The sequence below is a fragment of the Homo sapiens genome, chromosome 17, assembly GCF_000001405.40.
Source record: "Homo sapiens chromosome 17, GRCh38.p14 Primary Assembly".
In the NCBI taxonomy this organism is placed as follows: Eukaryota; Metazoa; Chordata; class Mammalia; order Primates; family Hominidae; genus Homo; species Homo sapiens.
In genome coordinates this window covers 81,441,661-81,463,324 of record NC_000017.11, presented here as the reverse complement: position 1 = coordinate 81,463,324, position 21,664 = coordinate 81,441,661, and the positions used below count along the sequence as shown (strand labels likewise).

Below are 21,664 nucleotides of genomic sequence, written 5' to 3'. Positions count from 1 at the left end.
CAGAGAGGAGCAGAGGGTGTGCTGAGTGCAATTTCTGTCTCAGGCTGGCACTGGAGGCAGGGAGGGCCCACGGGGTGGGGGCCGCCACACATCCCAGGAGTGAACTAGACCTGCCGGATGCTGAGCACTGCTGTGGGCCACAGCCCCCCACTGTGGGGAGGGACCTGGGAGCCCTGCTCTAGGGCATGCCCATGGGCTGTGCGGCTCCCTGCAGGGCCGTGGTACCTGCTGAGCGGGGGCTGTGTGGTGGGGCCAGGTGCTCCGTGTTGGGGCACAGTGCTGGCTGCTGTCGTGTCCCCTCCCTGGGGCCCCGAGGGGGGCTGGGCCCCACACCTGTCCGGGCCTCACCTTGCCGTCGCACTGCCTCTTGCCCAGCTTGGTCTCCTCAGGGTGGTAGAACCACTTGACCTTGACCACCATGTTGCTGCCCCACGACTCCCACATGCTCTCGATGCGGCCGATGTAGGGGAGGTTGGGCCGCCCAGCTGACAGGAAGACGGCACAGTCCCCGACACGCAGGGTCTCCTCGCCCCGCACGATGGCCTTGTAGAACAGCTTCCGGGCCTTCCCCTTCATGCCACGCCGCTGTGGGGGACATGGGCAGGGTGGCTCTGAGAGGCCGGGGGGCTGTGGGGACAGGTGGCGGCCAGGAGGCATGGAGGGTGTGGTGTGGGTGTGAGTGTGAGTCTGAGTGTGAGTGTGCAGGGCGCCCACAAGGGCAGGAAGCCGCAGCACCGCGGCTTAAGGCCATGGCAGCCATGGATCTGGAGCAGGGGCCACGCCTCCACGGAGCCCGCACATGGAATCATGACGTCTGGACACTGGATCTGGGACAGGGACATGTGGACAAGACGTTCACCACAGTGTTATTTACGAAGGCAAAAGACCCACGAGTGGCCCCACATGCGCCCCCGAGCAGTGCCCTGGTGAGGACAGACGCAGGCATCTGAGTGCGGGGATACACAGCTCTCCAGCTGGCCACGCCACTTATCAACGTGGAAAAGTGAGGCCACACCATGCGGAGTGCAGCTCAGGCCCGGCCCGACATGAAGCCATTTCTACTGTCACGCAGGCCACGGGCTCCAGCGAGGGGCCAGCGGAAGCGGCTGCCTCACTGGGTCATGGATGGGTCTTTGTTCTTCCCTTGAGTTTTCCACATTTTTTAACTTGAAATCAAGTAGGAAGATGAAAAAGGAGAGGGAAGGGCAGCAGGGGCGCATGAGCCCGCCCCGGTTTCCTTGGGAACCAGGAGCTCCTCCCGCCTCCCGCTGGACCTACCTGTGTGGGATTCCCCGACCACTTCCAGAGCTGCCGGGCGGGCAGGAAGGCTGAGATCTTTGGCCGGTTTTCCACGGAGGGCGGCCGCTGCCTCCGGGAGAGCTCTTTGGCTTTGGAGAAGCTCAGGGCCTCTTTGCGCTTGAGCTTGGATTTGCTGCTGCTGCTGGGGCCTGAGCCCGCACCGGTGCCAGCCACCGTGGCCCTGGACAGGAAGCAGCGCTGGGCATGCGCGTGAGGGCCGCTGCCCTTGGAGCGCAGGGCCTCGGGCTGGGCCAGGAGGGTGGGCACGGGGTGGGTGAGGCAGGTCTGCAGCAGCAGAGCCGGGTCCTCGTCGTCTGAGCTGTAGGACGAGTCCTCGTTGTCGGAGGAGCAGAGGCTGGAGGTGGACACGGAGCCTGAGGAGGAGGAGGTGGACGAGCCAGAGGAGGAAGAGGACACGGACAGGCGGGCGAGGAAGCGGGAGGGCACGCCGGCCGCCAGCCCCGGCCCGTCCTCGTCCTCGTCCGAGAAGGAGCTGTGGCAGTCGCTGTCGTAGGGCAGCGGGAACTCTGCCTGGCCCGCGTACTTGCGCAGCGCCAGCCCCATGGGCAGCGGGGGGATGGGTGCCCGCCCCTTCTTGTCCTTGCCCACAAGGGCCGGGTGCACATAGCTGGGGCTGGGCAGGGGCCGCCCGAGCTTGGGGCTGAAGTCCTTGTCCCCCATGAGCAACGCCTTGCAGGTCTTGTTCTTGGGGGAGGTCACACCCTCGTGGTCCAGCTTGACCAGGAACTCACCGCCCGCCCGCCGCCGCCCACCCTTCTCGGCCTCCACCCTCTCGGCCTTCTTAGCCCGCAGCAGCTTGTGGGCTCCCCTGGGGAGGCCCGGCCCGGTCCCCCCGACGAAGGGCGCGTAGGAGCTGGCCAGGCTGCTGAAGGAGTCGGCGCGGAAGCCGTTGCCAAATATGGGTGTGGCCACGCTGTGCACGGGGAACAGGGCCTCGCGGGCCCGCAGCTTCTTGCTGCTGCCGTTGAGCTGGAAGAGGTTCTGCAGCACCCCCGGCCCCTTGCTGGCCGCTGCCACCGCCTTCCGCTTGGTCTGCGCCACCGCGGACCAGCTCAGCAAGGGGCTGCCACGGCGGCCCAGGAAGTGGTCGGAGGCCCCCGTGGGGGATTTGGCACCTGAGGTTAGGAGTTCGGCTTTACCTGAGGGCAAAAGCCCAGCAGAGTCAGCCCCAGCTGGGCCCACAAAGCTGCCTCCACCTGCCCCTCCCCGGACCCTGCCTACCCCACGGGCCTCCTGGTTCCCCCAGCCCCCAGAGGGTGCCTTCCCCGATCCGGATTCTGGGAAGTCCGGTAAAATACCAGCTTTGTCTTTGCTAATGGATTTTTTCCCAGGTGTCTTCAAAGCTTCGGGGCCGTCCTGTGCTTTGGGGGACAGGCTGGGGGTGGCGGCTTCACTAGGCGGGGGTGCCTCACTGGATACCTTCTTGGTCCTCCGGCAGCTGCTAGACACTAGCAGGGCTGGAGAGGGCTCTGTGCCTGTGGATAGCATGGGCCAAGGGCTTCAGTGCCATGGCTGTGGGGTGACTGCCACCCCAACCCTTCCTTGGGAGCCCGTCTGGACACAGTGGAGCCCAGGCAGGGCCCTGCCCCGTGCAGCTCCCAGGCTCACACTGGATCTTGAAGTCAGGGGGCAGCAGCCTGACGTTGGAGACGGCGATGTGGCCTGTATCCCCATCGTCAAATTCCACCACTACTGAGTCCAGGTCCTCATCTTCGTCACCGGAGGCCCCTGTGGACGGCACACCTGAGCTTGCAGCTGGAACCCCCAGTAGGCGCCCGAAACAGGGAGGCGGGGCTGCCAAAGCCGGTGGGGAGGGTGAGGGGAGGGCTCTGGGGTTCTGCTCCCTGACCACACAGACAGTGGAGCCGCCCTGCAGCCCAGGAGCGGGGGCCTCCTCTCCACCTCCTGCAGTGCCTCCCATGTGATGCCACCGTCACCCCACCCAGCCCAGAACCAGACCTCCCCACACGTGCTGACGCCCACGTGCCCACCTCCCAGCCGAGTCCCGCCTGGAGGCGCCTCCCGCCCACCTGGCCACTTGCCTGTGGGACCCTTGAGCCTTTCGCCCTAGGGACCTACATGCCCCTGCCTGTAGTCAGGAGGTTTTGCCCAGGGGAGCTGGTGCCCCCTGACGTACTCTGTGACCCCCAGCAGCAGTGCTCAGGGCCCCTTCCTGCTGGGCCCTCTCTGCTTGGCTGGAGGCCGGAGCCCCCACCCTCCCTCCCCACACACCCTGTGCTTTTTCATGGCGCCTGGGGAGCTCATTTTATTGTCGTACTCTGTCTAAGCAGAGAGCTGGTTCTGCCCTCGCCAGCCTCGGAAGCCAGGCTGTTGGGGGCAGATATGAGCCTGTGGGTCTCAGAGGGGCCTGCCCCAGCCCCCGCTTTGGGTGCAACTTACCCCGGACCACGTTGCCCGGGTACAGACATCGAGACTTCTGACTCCAGTAGGCGCAGACCCGCGTGCCGGGCGGGAGGTACCGGCTGGACTGTGGCCGCACATCGAGAACCTGCAGGAACGCGGGCGACGACCCATGAGCAGGTGGGGCCTGGCCCAGGGCTGCCTGAGAGTCTGGTCCCTGGGCCTGGGAGTGGCTGCGGCCCAGGCCAAGGCCTTCCTTTGTCCTGGGACAAGCCAGCCAGGCCCCTCCCCGGGGCGGGCCGGCCCGGTCCTCACCGCTTCCTGCAGCAGCTGCTCCAGTGAGTAGATCCTCTGCCGGTTGCCCCTCTCGCCCTCGATGACGATGCTATAGCTGGGGGCATTGGGGAATGTGAGGTGCCACGGGTCTCGGTTGCCCTCCAGGCCCCTGCCCTGCCCCACCATGCCCAGGCCTCACATGTCGGGTGGCTGCAGGGTCCTGACGCTGCCCGCGTACAGCAGGCTATCCTCCTTGGGGATGAGCACGGGCAGCCCGTCCCGCAGGTCCTCCTTGTGGATGGCACACGAGCGCGCTGTGGGCACAAGGTGTCAGCGGCCGGCACGGCCTACCCACCACCCCTCCCCAGGCGGCTGGCACCCTTCCTGGCCCTGCTCACCTAGGGCGGCGCTCTGCTCTGCGCTCAGAGGGCCGCTGTCCTCCTCCTCTTCCTCCTCGTCCTCCTCCTCTTCCGAGAAGCTGCTGTTGTCGTCGAACTCAAAGTCTTCCTCCACGGCGAAGCTTTCCAGCAGGCGGCTCACGGCCCGGCCCTTGCCCTGGGGGCCAGAGGAGTCAGGCTTGGGTGGGGTGCAGGCGGGGTGCAGGTGGGTGCACAGTGGGCTCCCAGAGTGGGGGGCTGCTACCTGCTTGCCGGCCTTGTGCTTCACCTTGCTCAGCTTCCGGCCCTTCCCCAGGATGGCCTTGGCGTTGCGTGTGGCCAGCGTGATGGACAGGGCCCCGTTCTTCCGCTGCGCGTGGGCAGGCAGAGAAGGGGCTGAGTCAAGGGTGGGACAGCCTCAGGTTGACCCAGAGCTCAGGGGCCAGCGTGCGGGGGAGGGCGGGGAAGGCCTTTCCTCACAGGCACCCACCCTCTCCGCCCAGCACCCCAGAGCCCAGCCTCACCCGCAGCACTGGCTGCAGCACTGTGCCCTTGCGCGTGGCCCTCTTGAGGCGCTCACTGGCCAGCTGGCTGCCCTCCTCACGGCAGGCGAAGGCCCGAGAGGGGTTGAAGAGGGCGTCCCTGCTGGGGGTGGCCCCCGGCTCTGCCCGCAGGCTGCCCTTGGCCTTGCCCTTGGCTTTCTTCTTGCCCAGCGCACCTGGGGGCCTCTGCCCTGGGGCCCGCTCCAGGGTGGTGCCCACCTTGGCCTTCACCGACCGCCTCTTGATCTTGACCTCACTCTCAGGGCTGGACAGGCGGCAGGCCCCTGTGGGAAGGAGAGGAGGCCGTCACAGGGGTCCCCATCCTAGAGACCCGGCTGGTTGGGCTGACTGTGCCGGTCCTCCCTCCTGGTTACCTAGCAACCCCTGCCCGCCCCCGGGTTACCCAGCAACCTCTGCCCTCCCCCTCCTGGTTACCCAGCAACCCCTGCCCTCCCTCCTGGTTACCCAGCAACCCCTGCCCTCCCCCCGGTTACCCAGCAACCCCTGCCCTCCCTCCTGGTTACCCAGCAACCCCTGCCCTCCCTCCTGGTTACCTAGCAACCCCTGCCCTCCCCCCGGTTACCCAACAACCCCTGCCCTCCCCCTCCTGGTTACCCAGCAACCCCTGCCCTCCCCCCGGTTACCCAGCAACCCCTGCCCTCCCCCTCCTGATTACCCAGCAACCCCTGCCCTTCCTCCTGGTTACCCAGCAACCCCTGCCCTCCCTCCTGGTTACCCAGCAAACCCTGCCCTCCCTCCTGGTTACCCAGCAACCCCTGCCCTCCCTCCTGGTTATCTAGCAATCCCTGCCCTCCCTCCTGGTTACCTAGCAACCCCTGTCCTCCCTCCTGGTTACCTAGCAACCCCTGCCTCTCCTTCTTCTTCTTGGCCTTCTGGTTGGCCTCCATCTTGACCACAGAGGAGGGTGAGGGCCCCAGCACGGCCACACTGGCCCCGGTGTGCAGCAGCAGCCCTGCTTCCCTGGGTGGTGCCTCTGTCCCCAGGAGACCCTCGCAGTCCTCACTGTCATAGCCACTGCCTGGGAGAGAGGCAGAGGGGTCCTGATGACTTGATGGTAAGCTGTGCCATTGAGAGGTGGGGGAGGTGACCCTCTGGGCATGCGGTTATGGCGGGGCTGTGAGTGGAGCTGGTCACCGTCACCCTCTGGGCCGCTCTGTGGGGCTGCTTTGGGGGCAGGTGCCTGAGGTCCTGGCCTCCAGCCTGAAGGGATTTGTATGGGTGTGGGGAGGGGTGTTTTTTTCTTATACCCTGGGCAATAGGGCACCCACCAGGCAGGGCTGGGGCCCCCTCCCCAGAAAGTCCCTTCCCCTTTTTCTGCTGTCCTCCGCCCAGATGGCCCTCTGCCCCTCCCCCAGCCCCAAGCGGCCCTCCCTTTGTTCTTTCTCAGGCATCTGAGACCTTGGGGGAAGGGGCTGGCAGAAGAAAGGAAGCTTCTATTTTTCTAGGCTCCTGTTTCTGGACACACGTGTTTGCTGGGGGGGGTGGTCAGATAACGCCTCAGGGTCAGCTCAGCCGGATGCTACAGTCACAGGGGCTGGGGCCGTTGAGAGGGCTATTTTTAACCTGGATGCTTCCAGTGGGGGTCCTTCCTTCCCCTTCGGCCCTGACATGGGGGTGAGGCATGCTGAGCCACTGAGCTCTGCCTGGGGATGGGGGTCTCCTTCCGTGAGACCTTCATCTCCTTCCCCAGCCTGTTCAGTGAAAACGTCTCCTTGGACCTGTCACACCCCACAAGCCATGACCCAGCCCTGGTGGCGGCCATGAACCTGCCGCCCCCTCCTCCAGCCCCCGAGCGACCATGACCGGGGCTCCTGGCAGTGGCCACTCACGCCAGCAACTTGCCTGCCTCCTGGGACGCAGCCACGGAGGGCTGGGCTGGGCACCTGGGTGTCTCCCGGCTGCCGTGGCCCTTGGGCTGTGGGTGCCGTGTGGCCCCAGACACCTTGGCACTCTTGGCTCGGGACAGCTTCTCCCGGATGCGCCCCCCGGGGGTAGCCTCCTTCTGCTGGAAAGAGCTGAGGCCTGTGGGCAGCCCTTTGCTCTTGACCTTGGGTTTCAGCTGGGCCACCCTGTGGGCCACGGAGGGCGCCAGCCCGCCCTGACAGCTGCTCTTCTTACACTGCGCCTTCTCCTGTGAACAGGGAGGGGCAGCTGCACTCTCAGGGCGCCCTCTGCAAACCACAGCCCCTGGGCGGTTAGGTGCCTCTCTGTTGATGCCCGGCTCAGAACTGGTACCTCGAGGCCCCTGCCCTCGATCCACAGGGGCTGAAGGGATGTCTGGCCCAGAGACACAGGGCCTGCCCCTGGAGCCTACGCTGCGGCCTTTCCCACACAACCCACTGCCCACCAACTGCCCACCCCACGTAGGGGACATGGAGGAGGCTGAGGGCCCAGTGGCTGTGGGTTGTGGGGCCAGGCTGTTAGCTTTTCTAAAGGGAGGGATAAAACAGCATCTGGGCAGAAGGATCAGCCCCCTGGGCAGACAGGTGAAGTATGCTGGGGCCCACGTCTCACCAGCCCCGCCGAGGCCACGGAGAGAGGAGGGGCAGGAGGCAGCTGTTGTGCCAAGAAAGAAGGGGTGTCGGCAGCCGAGAGAGCCCCCACCACGCCAAGAAGAAACAGGGTGCCAGCAGCGTGGGGAGCCCCCCCACACCAAGAAGAAAGGGGGTGCCGGCAGCCGGAGGAGCCCCCGCCACACCAAGTGTGCCCTGGGCCACCTGAAGAAAGGCAGGGCCTCGTTCCAGGGAGTCTCTGTGAGCAGAGTGTAGCCTGGGCATTTGCTTTCCTGCTGGAGTGAGACGAGGAGGGTGGAGTGACGTGGGCAAGTGGCGGCAGGGCCACCCGGTCAGACCTTCCTGTGTTACACCGCAGGGTCACCCTCCTCCTCCTGCTGTCGGCGCTCGGAGCTCCCCAGCCTTGCTTCGCTCATCTGAGCAATGGGTTTCGGCACAGGGCTGGGGAGAGTCTGCTACCTGCCAGGAAGGGACCTGAAGGGACCTGAAGGGCCCTGGGGCAAGGCGGGCGCCTCGGCACTCACCACGGAGGCAGTCTGCAGGCCCGCATAGACGCTCCTCTCCAGCTTGCTTCGCTTCTTCGCAGGCTCGCCCCCACTGCCTCCTCGCAGCTCCGCACACAGCAGACCCAGGCTTGTCCGCACCGCCCTGGGGGCATGGGGTGGTGGGTGCAGGGCAGATGCAGGCCCGGCCGCCCCAGCCTTGTCCCCCTACTGTCTCTGTAGTGGGTCACACTGTGGGTCACCCTCCTCCAAGGGCCCCACGTCTCGGGCAGACAGAGCAGGGGGTGAGGGGCCCCGGGGGCCGAGCCAGCTCTGACCTCCTCTGAGCACCTGCCTGCAGCCAGCCCCTCTGCCTGCCAACCACCGGCCCTCAGCAGTCCCTATATCCTCAAATCCGCCCCATCCCCCACTTGGCTATACTGGAAGTGGGCACGCTTCTGTTACCCAAATCCCATCCTTCCAGCCTGATAGGAAGGAACGCCCTGGCAGTGCTGTCTGGTCCTAGCCACAGTGACCCAGAGGCCAGGTGTCGGGGGCTGGGGCCGGTGAGGGCTCTGAGGGGCCGCCCAGTGCTCAGGAGCCAGGGCTCTGCTGCTACTGGGGCCTGAGTGGGGCTGCAGCCCCAGCCTTGGCACCTGGAACAAGGGACAGCCACACATGTGCCTGTCTGAGTCTGGGGCAGGGCTTATGCAGGCCGGGCCCGGCCCTTGGCGGGTGTTCAGGGCCTGATACTACCACCCTTAGGAGTGGGGCAGGCACCGGGCAGGTTTGTGAGAACTGCACCCACATTTCCGCCACAGCTGGAAGAGGACGTGCCAACCGGAGTCCCACCAGGGGCGGGGGTAGGGGCAGGTGGGTGGGGTGGGGTGGGGGCGGTGTCCAGAGAAGCCTGGGCTTTCCCCTGAGTCCCCAGGGACCCCGTTGCCGGGCTCAGGCCCTCTCAGGAGCCCATTCTGTCCTCCACGCGGGTCTTAAGGATGGAATTCTGCATCCCTGGCCCCTCCCAGATGGAGCCCTGGACACTGCGGAGGCTGAGCCTCAGTATTCCCCATGCCCCAGAGCTGTGCTGTCCCCCAGGCTGGGAGCTGGGGCAGAAGTCAACTCCAGCCTACATGGGCCCAGCAGCTACCTCCAGATGCCCCAAAACAGGTCCCACCTGATCCCCCCACATCCTGGGCTCCCCCTCTTGTGTGGGTGACCCACCCTCCCCAGAACCTCCCACTGCCCCATTTCACATGGAGAAGCCAAGGCTTGGGGAGTCTCTCTGCCTGTTCTTGGCTAGACAGGGGCTGGGGGCTTGGCCTCTCACCTTTCAACCCCCACCTGCCCACAGGTGCAAAGGGATACCCAGCTGCTCATGAAAATGAATCCCAGATGGAGACAAAGAGCCCTGCCTGGCCCTGGCCTGGCGTGGCCGGATGTCCCTTTCCACCTTCCTGCTCACAGAGGAGGCTGGGCTTCTGAGGCCTGAGGGGCCAGGCAGGAAGCCATGGGCCACAAGGCACCCCTGGGCCCCCGCTCCCCGACTTCCTGCATGGTAGAAGGCCCGTCCCGGGGCCAACTGCCTCTGCCACCACTGCCTGGATGAGTGAGGGCAGGAGGTGGAAGGGTGAGGTGGGGCCCTGACCCTCGGGAAGAGGGGTCCTGGACTCAGTTTCCCTCCCTGTCCTGAGGCTGCTGCCTTCTAGCCAGATCCTGGTTTCCAGGGGCCCTGTCCTGCCCAGCAGTTCCCACAGTGCTGGCTGGTTCTCAAAGGGAGACCCCAGGAGACCCCCCCCCAGGAGACACCTGGGCAGGGCAGGGGCAGCTCTGGGGGGGGGCAGCCATATGGTGACCCCTCCACTGCCCACAGCCACACAGCCCCTCCCCGTAACCTTCTCTGCATTTGCTAATGTTTTGTGACATGAAGCCCTGAGATTAATTTTTTGCCTGTCTTAATTGAAGGAACCATTTAGTGCCGATTTAACTATTATTACCAAATCATCAGGATTGATGCAGTGCGCACACGCACGCGCCAATCGTGTTTGGAGGAGCTCGGAGGATTTATGCAAATGGGCCTGCCGGGAGAGGCAATTTGTAGCCGAGAAGGACAATTATACCAGGCCCGGGAGTGCGCCAACGACTGCGCCGGGCGGGTAATGGATAATAACATCGCGCCGGCAGCCGTGAGCAGCTCCACAGCGTGACCAACGACTTTATACAGTGCAGATAAAGAGGCCTGCACGCAACACCGCCTCACACTCCAGGGGGGCCGGGCGGGGACGATGCCACAGCCAGGTGTGCAGAGCCGGCGTGGCTGGGCCTGGGGGCCGTGACTTCCAGAGGGGGACCCGGGCCAGGGTGGTGCTGGGAGCTGCCAGAAGGGCAAAGCCTGTCTGGAGCAGGGCTCTGTCTGCTGGTCACTCTCGATGGTCTAGGAAGGGCAGGGCCAGGCCTTCAGAGTAGGTGTGAAGGGGCACCAGCAGCCTGGAAGCCTCAGGGGAGCCTGGACCCTGCTCCCCAGCCTCGAGGGCCCAGGGCCGGCCACACGCGCCCTGCCATGCCAGTGCCCAGGACTCACTTGACTTTCTTGCCATCGCTCCTGGGGAGCGGCCCCGTGGGACGTGGGGCAGGCAGCGAGCTTGAGTGTTTGCGCTTCCTCGGCCGGCCAGGCCCCCGCCGTGCAGGGCTCCGTGAACTCTCGTCTCTCCTGGGGGCCGCAGGGGGGATGGTCAGAGGCTCATGCACAACCCAGCTCCCCGACAAGGTTCCAGCCGAGGGCATTGGCCTTCGAGGGCTACTGGGTGTGGGGAAAGATGCGGCCCAGACTCGGCCTGGGGAGCCTGACCCCTCACGCAGAGGGCAAGGCCAGCCAGGGGCCCCCGCCGCCCCCACCTCCTACCATCCACACACACTGGTCAGGTGGTGCCCCTGCCCTTGTTGCAACTGCGGGGTGTCCCCTCCCCCAGAGAATCCCCCAACTTCTGCCCTGGCCCCACAGCACCCCCAGTCCTCCCTACTCCCCCTTCTGCCACTGTCCCCTCACCCGCCACCCTGCGGCCAGCCTCCTGCCACACCAGGCTCTGACAAGCGGCTCTTCCACAGACCCCTGGCCCTGCCACTTGGTCTCGCTGCTGGCCGAATGCCTCCCTCCTTGGGCCCCACTGCCTCTGGGGGGCCTCCCCGATGGACCCTGGTGTCTGCCCACAGGTAGGGGGCAGAGCCCAATCCTGGCCTGTTCCCACATCGGCCCCAGCACTGTGGGCGCCTCCCGGGGGTGGGGGTGCTGCGACCCTCCCAGGCCCCCCCGCCACGCCAGGCGTACTCATGGTCGTGCTTGCGCTGCAGGCGGGCCAGCTCCCGCTGCTTCTCCTTGTAGCGCCGCTGCAGCTCCGCCAGCCGCACGCGCATCCCCACCTCCTGCGTGTCCAGCCGGTCGATGGCGGCCTTCAGGGGGCACACCTGGTGGGGGGGGCACAGGGGCCTGTGAGCCGGGCCAGGGCCCAGGCTGGGGCTCTGTGGCAACGCACTGGGCGACGTGGGCACTGGGACCTCCACTCACAGGCTTGGTCTTGGGGGTCCAGGTGTCCTTGCGCTGCAGGATCTGCATGCGGGGGGTGAGCCTGGGGCCGCTGCAGGGGTTGGCTGTGGGCGGCTGCGCTGGGGCAGTGGAGCTGTCCAGGCCAGCGGCCTCCACCAGGGACCAGGCTGTGGCCAGCGTGGCCAGGTGCTGCAGGTTGAAGGCTAGCACGTCCTCTTCCTCCTCTGTGCGGCATGGGAAGGTCAGCATGGGCATAACTGGGCACACACTGCCCCTCACAGGCTCTTGATGTCAGCCCTGGCCCCCTGAAGCCACCCAGCCTTGAAGACCGGGATGAGGGTCAGGAGACCGGGAAGAGTGAGGTGGGCACCAGGGCTGACACCCAGCACCCCTGTTTTGCTGCATGCTGGGGAGACACTCCCTTGGTGGTAAGGCAGGGCCAGCTGGGAGGACCCACGGGGCAGGGTCCTCTGTGTCACAGAGCAAGACAGGCCCCAAAGCATCGAAGTAAAAGCAATCTGCTCGTTACAGCTTCTAACAGAAACGCCTGTGTGTCCCCCCACCGGGGGGGCCCTGCTTCGAACGGCAGCCCTGGGAAGGGATACTCTGGGGCCCTCAGAGACACAGGCAGTGCTACGAGAGCCCACTGAGGCCTCGTGCACGGAAGCTGCTGAAGTTCAACCGAGTTGAATGCTGTGGCTCAAGCCTGCGGTTCCAACAGGCGTCTGTCTACGTGGCTTCAACCAAGTTCAAAGTCACGCGGAGAGATGGCTTTGGAACCAGGGGCTTCAGCACCTGGGCATCACTCCATCCAGGTGGTGGAGGCTGGCGTCCCCCAGCAGCTAAGACCTGCCATTGCCTGTCCATCTGCCCATCAGTCCTTCCGTCCACTCGCCTGTGTGGACACCTAAAGAGCAATGGCTGCAGGGAGGCCAGTGGTCAGTGCAGAGGGAGGGGACAAGTCCCCTCGATACCTTTAAATTTGAGACAGGGTCTCGCTTTATTGCCTGGGCTGGAGTGTGGTGGCTCCATCACGGCTCACTGCAACCTCGAACTCCTGGGCTCCAGTACCCTCCCACCTCAGCTTCCTGGGTAGCTGGGACCCCAGGCCCTCGATTCCTTGTGAGGAGGGCAGCGGGCAGGGGTTTCTGGATGCAGTCTCATCTGCTGTGACCCTTCTCAGAGGAGCAGCCACCATTCCTCCATCCTCCCTCAGAGCACCAAATCCCTGCCCCTGCCCGGTCTCTGAACACAGTGCTGGGCTCTGCCAAGCCCTTTCCAGCACGCTCCAGCCCTGGGGCAGGCAGGAGGGCCATGGGCTGAACACAGGTCAGGAGGAAGGGGCTGCCAGGGCCGCATCCTCTGGGACCTCAACCTGGGGGCAGGGACAGGGGAGCTACCCTCACAGTGACCGCAGGAACAGCGGCAGCCCAACAGCCCAGGCAGTGGCCTGGGGAAGGGATGGCCCATCTTGGGGTCAGAGCATGGGCCAGCAGAGGCTGGCGTCCATGCAGGGTCGGGCCCAGGTTGGGGACTCAGGGCCTGAGTAGGGGAAGCCAGCCCTGAGGGCTGACCACAGAGACCAGGAACGGGGTCCCCATGGGCTGATCCCACAAGGACATCCAGCAGGAGACAGGAGCCAGACACCTTGCGGTGGGGGTGGGTGGTGATGGCCAGGAAGGCAGGAGAACTGCGGAACCCCTGTGGGGTGAGTAGAGGTGCTGGTATCCCCTGGGAAAGCCCAGGAGCAACGATAACCTCACAGCAACGAGCACCCCAAACCTAGTCTCTGCCTCAGAACCCCACGCTCCACTTAACGGACCGGGGCTCCCCAGAGATATGGCTCATCTCAGCCAGAAGCAGGAGTGCGGGAGAACCCCATCCACGATGGGACAAATCAGCGCCTGACAGCTGGGGCACGCACCTGAGATTCCACCAAAGGCACTGACCTGAGCGCCCAGGCTGGGGCACTCCATGGTGCGTGGCTGCTTCCCTCCTCAAGTATGGGGAGGGCCAGGGGGCCACAAGCCCAGACCAAGGGTTGATCCATCCCCAGAAGTCATTACTAAGAAGCCAGGAGGTGCTCGGAGGGGCAGATGCTGGGGTGCAAAGCTCTGGACCGAGACCACAGATCTGATGGGGACCAAGGGAACACTCAGGCTGCTGGGTCCAGGATCCGCAGGGAATGGGAGGGGGAGAGAGGGCCGAGGGGGGGTGGGCTGAGCAGCTGCTGCCATCAGCAGCCGGGGAGGCACATCTGCAGGCCCCTTCCACTGAAGGCCCCAGGTCTCCTGGGGTCACTGCAGTTGGCCAGAAGCCCCTCTGTGCCTCCCCTGCCCTTGCAGGCTACAGGCGTGTGGCTCCCACGTGGCCTCACCCAGATGGTTCTGCCAGTCCTGGGGGCTCTATGCTTGCCCGGCCCCGATGGTGGGGGCTTTTTCTCCACTTCCCCCTCTGCAAATCTTGCTGTCTGGCACAGGACAAAACCAACCTCCTAATTAATTTCAATTGAAGTGATCGCTACACTTGTAGGGATCAGCTCTGAGCCCAGCAGCTGCAGAGACCTGCCCATTAACGGGGACAAGGGGAGGGCAGGGGCAGGGGTGGGGGCCCAGGGGGGGACCATGAGGTGGAGACCCGGAGGGCAGAGCTGGCCCTGACTCCACTTCTGCACACCCTGGGGATTGGGACACCTGGCCTGGCCGGAGTGTGACGACATCCATGCTGGGTTAAGCCACATGGCCCACCACCCGGGACACGTGGTCTACACATGAGTATTCATGCAGTGAACGGGCTCCTGTCCTGCAGGCATTCACACAGGCAGACCGGCCACTCTGGCCATACACACGGGACCTGCTATCTACTGACGCCTCCTCATGCTGCCAGGTGAGGGTCCCTGAGACCCTCCCACGGCGGGTCCCTGGCAGCTCAGGCCCTGCCCCAAGGTGCCTCCACCTCGCCCTATCTAACTTCTCATATATTGCCAGCTGGAGGCCCAAGGGAGGGCCTCTGGGGGGTCCAGGTGGAGCCCACCCTGGTAGGACTCCAAGCTTCCTCAAACCCTCTGCACAGCCCCACCCAGAAGCAGGGACTCTGGGCCAGATACCCCCGAGGGCAGGCAGCTCCCAGCACTGCGGAACCACCCCTGCCGCGTGCGGGCCAGCAGCCTCATCCAGCACAGGGTGACCACGGGCCCCTGGGGAAATGCACTGTTCGAGAACATTCTCTTCATCGCGGTGGTGAGCTTTATGCATCCAGAAAGCAGCGGCCGAGCCCTGAAGACTGTCAGCTTCGTGCTATCAACAACCACGGCGCCGTGCCCGGCTGGGGGACGCCCTCCACCCCGGGGCTTTCTCTGGGGCCCACAGGGAAGACGGCAGGAAGCGGGCGCTTTCCCGGGAGCACTGGACCGCAGGGAGTGCCCGGACCAAGGCCCAGGGTGGACGAAGCAGACACCTGGCCCTCGGGTGTCCCAGGTGCTCTGGACCCGCCCACTGTTGTCCGGCTGTCCTTGGGGCCCCTGGGTGGGCGGAAGAGCCCAGGAGCTCCCAGTCCCATAGGCCTCCCTGCAGCAGGAGCCCCAGCCTCCTGCCCCCTCCCCTGGGCCTGAAGCGGGGAGCCGACGGTTCCTGAACTGGACCCCCCAGGCCAGGGTAGCAGCCGTGGAGGCTGAGGAGGTGGAGGCCTGGCAGAGCAGGAGGCAGGCGGCAGGCTCTCCTCTCCCCTTGCCAGGACGCGAGCCCCTGTTCAGCCACTTCCAACAGGAGGTGCTGCCCGAGAGGCCCTTCCTCTGAGACCACCATGGAGGTTAGTCCTGCTCCCAGGGCCCCACCTGGGACGGAGAGATTCGGAGATGGCACACCTGCCTCGGACTTCCATGGACGAGGGACGGCAAGGGGAGGCGGACACTCTCCAGGGGACCTACCACACTTTGGGGACAACTGAGCGGGGCCCAAGGCTGCCGTCTGGCCAGGTGACCCTGAGGCAGGCGTGTGGGTCCCACTGCTGGGACTCTGGGGGGTGGCGGCAACCACCGGGCTTACCTGGCACAGTCCTCTCACTCCTCTGCCGCTGGATTGCCAGGTCAGCCAGCTCGCTGAGCAGAGCGATCCCATGAATCCCTGAGCTATGAGGCAGGGGGACTGTGCTGGGGGGCCCAGAGGCCGCTGGGGGCTGAGGGTCCGGTGGGCTGTCGCTGGGCAGGTCCCCCAGGTTGATGGTGGCGGCCACCAAGGCATCCAGGCCTGGTAGCGCCCTGGGTGGGTGGCTGTTGTCGGGAGCTCCGCCACAGTCCTCCTCTGAGTCCTCCATGCTCTGCTGCCCCAGCTCGTCTTCCTCCAGCTCGTCCTCCTCAGGGGCCGGCTGCTCCCCCTCGTCCTCAAGGGCACCCGGACTCCCTGCTCGCTGCTCCAGGACTTGGGAGGAGGCCCCTGACGAGGGCCCCTGCTCCCCCTCCTCCCTGCTCCTCTCTTCTCGTGCCCCTCCCTGAGTAGAATGAGCCTGGCCGGTGGCCTCGGGGCCCCCTGCCTCCAGGAGGGCCGCACATTGCAGTTCTTGTAGCCCCTCTAGTGGGCTGGGGTCCGCTGCCTTCCCCTGGGGTCCCCGCTCGGTAGGGTAGGGGGTGGCGGCAAGGTCCTGGGTGGCCTCCCTGGCCCCTGAGAGCAGCCCGGGCTCCTCCAGGCTCCTGGGGCTGCAGGGAGGCGGCTCCCCAGGCAGGAATGTCCTTGTGGGCTCAGGCTGGGCCCCCGGGGCGGTGGTTTGCATAGTTTCAGGGTCCTCGAGGTTAGAAGAGTGCACGTCTGAGGGTAGGGAGAAGCCCAGGCCAGCCATGGGGCGCAGGTATCCGGGAGGCAGGTCTGCAAAGGAGGGGACAGGTCAGCAGGGAGCTGGGAGTGGTGGTGAGGGGGTGTCCTGCGATAGGACGGAGGACAGTGGCCTCGAACCCTCAGACCCAAGCCCGTGCGGAAGGGCCCTGGGCTAGCTGCAGGTCTGCAAGACTGGTGGCGGGGAAAGGGTTACGTTAATTAAGGGGGCAACCTGGCTGGGTGCAGTAGCTCACACCTGTAATCCCAAAACTTTGGGAGGCTGAGGTGGATGGATCATTTGAGGCCAGGAATTCGAGACCAGCGTGGGCAACAGAGTGAGCACGTGCCACTACAAAAAAATTAAAGAACAATGAGCTGGGCGTGGTGGTGCATGCCTGTGGTCCAAGCTACACAGGAGGCTGAGGTGGGAGGATGGCTTGAGCCCAGGAGGCCGAGGCTGCAGTGAACCATGTTCGCGTCACTGCACTCCAGACTGGGCGACATAGGGAGATACCCTGTCTCAAAAAAAAAAAAAAAAAAAAAAAAAAAAAAAAAAAAAAGGTGTGAGCAGCCTGAGGCCAGGCCCTCATTCCCCTAAAGAGTGGCCTTGAAGCTCCCCCCAACAACCCTGGCTGCCGGGGCTGGGGGTGGCCTCAGGAGCCATCTCTGGCATGGTATGCTGTGGGTAACCAGAAAAGGGGGAATTTGTAAAACATGATGCTTTAATCAGGGTTTTCCCTGAACCAGAACAAGCCGGCAGCATGTCAGAGGCATCATGTCCCATTAACTGCAAAAAAAAGAAAAAAAAAACGAAGGGAAAAAAACGGAAAAACCCTCTGCTAGCTCCATCTCCTGACTGTGAAACTAGGACGGGTTTTATGTTCGCCACACGGTTTCCAGTGTGACCTCTCAGTCCCACTCAGAGAGAATCAAATAGGCTGGTGGGGAGTGGATGGGCGGGTGGCAGGGGCCGAGGCCAGGCCCGAGACCCCCCCACCCAGGCACCCCGCCTCGCTGCCCCTCCCTCTCCCAGCTTTGCTGAGACCCTGAATGGCAGCCTGGTCAAGTCCCATGCCCAGTGCCCCCAGGGTGCCAGTACCACCACCAGCAGGCCCCGCCTTCATTGCTGGAGGGCCCCTACGACAGCCAGCGGGACCCCGTCTTCCTCCCGCCTTCGTCAGCCCACGGCCAGGAAGGGGGCGGCTGGGGCACTGTGTGCTTCTCCCAAGGTCATTGGGAGGACTGGGAAGAGGGAAGAGAGAGGAAGGGAACAGCCATGCTGCCCTGGGTCTGGGCAGGTGTGGCGCCTCCCTGCAGGCAGCCCGGATTCAGCGCAGCCCTGCCGGGCAGGGGTGGGAGGGCTTGGAGCGGAGCACAGTGGGCCGGGCCAGGCGGCTACTCTCACCTGGTTCGGATGTGATGATGTCGGCCGTGGACTGCTGACCCTCCCCATTCTTTTCCTCGGCGCTGCGCACCCGGGAGCCAGGCCCGGGGCTGCTGGCAGGGCAGACATTTAAAGTGCACGGGGCGCTGGGCCGAGGTGGTGGGGTGGGGGAGCTGGCGGGGGGCTTTGGGTCGGGCGGATGGCAGCAAGGTGGCAGCTTGGTGGGGCCTGCAGCGGGTGAGGGGGCGCCCGGGGCCGTGGGGGTTAAGGCAACTGGCTTGTGGGTGGACTTTGGGGCCTTCTCCTGGGCGGGCTCCTCCAGATCCAGGTGCTGGTCTTCGGGCTTCCGCTGTCAGGGATGGGGGCAAGCTCGGTCAGGCTCAGGATCCCCTGACCCCAGTGGGCCCCCTGCTTGGGTTCATCCTGCCAGAGGCCAGGCATGCAGGGGTCTCCTGGAGCCAGGTCCGGCCAGGCAGGGTTGGGGAGAAGTGCCCGGCCCAGGTGAGCGTGGCTAGGGGCGGTACCTGGAACTGGGCGGCCCTCTGCTGCTGCAAAGCATAGAGCTCCTGCTGCCGGAGGAGCTGCGGCCTCGAGTACACAGGGAGCTGGCCCGGGTGCTGCATGTGAGAGGCGGGGCCCCGGCCCCCGTACATGGGGGGCCACAGTGACGCCTGGTCCATGACATCCGCTGTGGGCAGGGCCCAGGAGGGGTCAGCCTGGCTGGGGAGGGGACAGCTCCGGGGCTGCTTCCCCGCCACCCTTTCCTCAGCCCACCAAGCCCACCGCTCCCTCCTGAGCCCTGGCCAGCACACCCCCGGCTGCCCCTCCTTCCAACAGCACCCCCCAAGTACAGCAGCCTGGACCAGGGGCCCTTACCAAGTGCGTGGGGGGCGCTGTGGGGTGTGGGCTCTGAGGGCAGGATGACCAGCTGTGTGGGGGCGTCCTGTGGGAGGGGGAAGACAGAGGGCACAGGGCCAGCCACGGAGGCGGGGAAGCCGGGGGGCAGGTTCTGGTGCAGGGCAGGGTGCCCCAGGCCTGGGAGGCAGAGGGCACAGTGGTCAGGCCTCGCACTCTCGGGGACCAGGAGGGAACCCTCATCAGCCCCAGGCCAGCCCCCGCCCTTGGATCACTGACCGTAGGAGTGCCCCCCCATCCACAGGGAGGGGCTGCGGGTGCGGGGCAGCCAGGGGGGATGGGGGTGGGTGTGGGGGGCTGGGTCCCCGCCCAGCTGGCCGCTCTGCATCATGAGGTGGGGGGCCAGGTCCCCAGGGCAGCTGCTCGGTGGGTGGATCCGGGCGAACTCTACGCGGTCTTTGCTGTCCCTGTAAGACCTGGGGCTCAGCCCTGCCGCCGGCGCCAAGGCCCAGCTCCCCATCCCACCCCCGGCCCTTTGTTGTCTCTGTAAGACCTGGGGCTCAGCCCCACCAACGGTGCCAATGCCTGACTCCCTGTCCCACCCCCTGCCATCAACCTGGGAGGGAGAACGGGACCTGGAGGCTCAGGGAAAACCCCAGGCTCCAGCCTCAGTGCTCTGCAGGGCTGACTGGGGGCCATCTCCTGGCCCCTGAAAGTGGGTAACCTGACCGCTGCAAGGGGTTAACTGAGACCCCCAACCCCGGGTGAGACTCCAGAAAGGCTCTAGGGGTGGGGAGAACCCCACCCACGGCCGGCCATAGAATCTGCTGCCCCAGCCATGACCACCCCTCTTTCTCCACGTGGCTCTGAGTGGGGAGCCCCAAGCCCAGGCCTAGCCCCACTCTCCAGGGCCACAGGCCCAGCTCTCACTGCAGCAGCAGCTCGCGGCTGGCAAGCCCCAGGCGGTCATCACATAGCCTCGTCCTCTCCTCCTCAGCCTCCAGGTCCAGCGCGTGTGTGGAACGGGGCCCACCGCCACCTGCACAGGGTCGAGACAGCAGACGGGAGAGGGTTGGGGCGGCCAGGGAGCCACCAGCTAAGGCAAGCAGTGACCCCGCTTCGAGCTGGGGGGCCTGATGCACTGAGGAGGATCCCCTGGTCCTGGGGCCTCGGAGGGTCTGCCAAGGGCAGGTGTGGGAGCTGGGGAGCCGGGGCGCAGGGCAGGGCCAGCTGGGCCCCCTAGACTGTCCCGGCCTGCCTCCCTCTCTGTGCAGGGCCTGTACCTTTGAAGGCGGGGGCGGCCCGGCCCTGCCGCGCAGTGTTGGTGCCGTAGGCTGCCTCAGACCGGCTCACTGTGTCCTTCTGCCGGGCCAAGGCCACTGCAATGCCCACAGGGGGCTGCCGCACCTCCCCGTCGCCGTGCGTGGTGTCGTGCTCCCTGCTGCGGGCACAGTCCGGCCTCTCCGACTGGCCTGGGCCCTTAGAGGACAGGAACTTTGCTTCCTGCTGGATGCAGCTGGCCTTGAGGCCACCCAGGCCCACCAAGGGTGCTTTCTGGCCCACCACCAGGGCCTGGCTGCTGTATTTGAGCAGGTTCTTCATGGCTGAGACCTCGTCCGGCGGCGCAGGCAGTTCCTGGGGCAGAAGAGCCGCCTGCTGCAGGCCACTGCCAAAGGGGTCCAGGTAGGCGCCAGCCTTGCGCTCCTCGCTGATGGCCATGGCGGTGCCCTGGCCTGCCTGGACACCCCATGGGGGCAGGTGGGGCCCACTGTAGCCCAGGGATGCCAGCTCCAGGGACTTGCGCTTGGCCTCAGCCCCAATGCCCCCCTGCTCCACCTCGGCGGCCATCAAGTGCTGCTGGTGCCTGATGCGGGCCACCTTCTGTGCCCCTGGGGGGCCGGCCGGGGCTTCCTTGCCAACAGTCTTATCTAAAGTGCAGCAGGCCTGGGGGGCCTTCCCGCCCAGCGGGTCCTGGTGACCAGGCCGGGCACAGTCCTGTGAAGAGGTGGGCAACTCGAAGTAGCCGCTTTTGTCCAGACCGCTTTTAGGGAGTCCGGGGAAGGAGGCCTCGGGGCCTGCGCTGCTGAGATAGTCGAGGCCCTTTAGCCGGGGGTTGAGGGCCGCCTCAAAGCCCCCAGGCCGCCGCTCGCCCTTGCCCTCGGCCTTCAGGTGGGCATAGGAGACTCCATAGGGTGCAGCGTGGTCGGGGGCCATGGTTCCCTCCAGGTGCCGGTCCTTGCCCTCCCCTGCCACGGCACAGGCCTCGGCGGCCTGGAAGGGGCGGCCCTTGTCGGCCAGGTGTCCCACAGAAGGCACGAAGGTGGGCCCGCTGGCCTTTAGGTCCCGGGGGGCTTTGTCCTGCAGCGGGCAGAGCCCGTCAGGGCCCCCGTGCAGCTGCAGGCAGGGGAAGGAGCCGGCGGCTGTGCTGAGGGGCGGGGGTGGCCCGGCGTAGGATGCGGTGTGGTGTAGCATCTGCCGCCGCTCCAGGCACTCGCTGAAGGCCGGCCCGGGCTCCGGGGGGCCTGCTGCCTCCTTTGCACAGCGCCCGGAGGTCACCACCCCCGTGCCAGGCCGCCCCAGCATGCCCCCTGCACAGCTGGCTAGCGCAGCCCTGCCCATCTCGCCGTTGAGCACCTTGGTGTTGAGGAGGCAGGAGGTGAGGTGCTTGGGGCGGCCCTCGCAGGCCCCTCGGGGTGCGGGGCCGCCCTCCCTGCAGTGCCCGTCGGCTGGCACGGGCAGCACCAGCTTGTGCCGCTCCTTGCCACCGTCCTCCTCTGCCGCTGGCCGCTCCTTGCCCTCAGCGGCCTTGCCCGCCTTCTCTCTGCCCAGCTCTTTGCCCACGAGGAAGCGGTCGAAGTCCTTGGGGCCCTTCTGCAGGGAGCCTGCCTCACCCCGGTCTCGATCCCGGCTGCAGGAGCCCATGGGGTGGGCAGGGGCGGCCCGGGCCACGCTGGGGAAGTTGTGGTTGGCCGGCAGCAGCGTGGGCTGGGGCGGCAGGTTGCGCAGGTAGAAGTTATCTGTGTGGGAAAGAGCCAAGGTCAATGGGAGGCCTTAGGGGTGAGGCTGGAGAAAGACTCCCTGAGACAGGTGCTCCAGGTGCCTCCCGGACACCAGCTGGCACTGACTCCAGGTTACAGCCTAGGGAAGGTTTTTGCTCTTTTTTTTTTTTTTTTTTTTTTGAGACGGA

At 65.8% G+C, this 21,664-nt stretch overlaps 1 protein-coding gene, 1 long non-coding RNA gene and 1 other non-coding gene across 9 annotated transcripts in view, besides 2 other annotated features; 2 read left to right on the top strand and 1 right to left on the bottom strand.

Moving 5' to 3' along the window:
* Positions 1-21,664, bottom strand: part of BAHCC1 (BAH domain and coiled-coil containing 1) — a 70,875-nt gene that overhangs the window by 3,007 nt on the left and 46,204 nt on the right. For 2 of the 5 annotated variants that reach the window (NM_001291324.3, XM_047436466.1), the window contains exons 5-28: positions 19,761-21,494; positions 19,408-19,516; positions 18,757-18,944; positions 18,499-18,657; positions 18,147-18,310; positions 17,644-17,971; positions 16,495-16,587; positions 15,477-16,289; positions 11,455-11,657; positions 11,218-11,354; positions 10,474-10,602; positions 7,935-8,058; positions 6,740-7,028; positions 5,733-5,915; positions 4,859-5,160; positions 4,600-4,704; positions 4,356-4,512; positions 4,157-4,271; positions 3,997-4,072; positions 3,721-3,829; positions 2,929-3,048; positions 2,619-2,795; positions 1,279-2,459; positions 349-585 (exon numbers count right to left, since the gene is read on the bottom strand). In NM_001291324.3, coding sequence (NP_001278253.1) covers positions 349-585; positions 1,279-2,459; positions 2,619-2,795; positions 2,929-3,048; positions 3,721-3,829; positions 3,997-4,072; positions 4,157-4,271; positions 4,356-4,512; positions 4,600-4,704; positions 4,859-5,160; positions 5,733-5,915; positions 6,740-7,028; positions 7,935-8,058; positions 10,474-10,602; positions 11,218-11,354; positions 11,455-11,657; positions 15,477-16,289; positions 16,495-16,587; positions 17,644-17,971; positions 18,147-18,310; positions 18,499-18,657; positions 18,757-18,944; positions 19,408-19,516; positions 19,761-21,494 — 7,232 coding nt within the window. The remainder of the gene's footprint in view (positions 1-348; positions 586-1,278; positions 2,460-2,618; positions 2,796-2,928; positions 3,049-3,720; positions 3,830-3,996; positions 4,073-4,156; positions 4,272-4,355; positions 4,513-4,599; positions 4,705-4,858; positions 5,161-5,732; positions 5,916-6,739; positions 7,029-7,934; positions 8,059-10,473; positions 10,603-11,217; positions 11,355-11,454; positions 11,658-15,476; positions 16,290-16,494; positions 16,588-17,643; positions 17,972-18,146; positions 18,311-18,498; positions 18,658-18,756; positions 18,945-19,407; positions 19,517-19,760; positions 21,495-21,664) is intronic. The other 3 variants (XM_047436467.1, XM_011525063.3, NM_001377448.1) reach the window with 3 other exon arrangements.
* Positions 5,554-6,502: an enhancer, noted in NCBI's record as "H3K27ac-H3K4me1 hESC enhancer chr17:79423849-79424797 (GRCh37/hg19 assembly coordinates)". NCBI's record gives its function as "activates a minimal SCP1, AML or CMV promoter by ChIP-STARR-seq in naive and primed H9 embryonic stem cells {active_cell/tissue: H9 hESC(naive and primed)}" and the evidence as "EXISTENCE:reporter gene assay evidence [ECO:0000049][PMID:30033119]".
* Positions 6,503-7,451: an enhancer, noted in NCBI's record as "H3K27ac-H3K4me1 hESC enhancer chr17:79422900-79423848 (GRCh37/hg19 assembly coordinates)". NCBI's record gives its function as "activates a minimal SCP1, AML or CMV promoter by ChIP-STARR-seq in naive H9 embryonic stem cells {active_cell/tissue: H9 hESC(naive)}" and the evidence as "EXISTENCE:reporter gene assay evidence [ECO:0000049][PMID:30033119]".
* On the top strand, positions 8,450-9,431 carry LOC124904084 (uncharacterized). Of its 3 annotated transcripts, none has more exons than XR_007065944.1 (3): positions 8,450-8,755; positions 8,921-9,062; positions 9,247-9,431. It is a non-coding gene; the product is annotated as an uncharacterized LOC124904084 (long non-coding RNA). The 3 variants fall into 3 exon arrangements; XR_007065943.1 differs by having other exon boundaries at positions 8,890-9,062; XR_007065945.1 differs by having other exon boundaries at positions 8,450-8,765.
* MIR3186 (microRNA 3186) lies at positions 12,137-12,221 on the top strand. Its single transcript, NR_036152.1, has one exon. It is a non-coding gene; the product is annotated as a microRNA 3186 (primary transcript).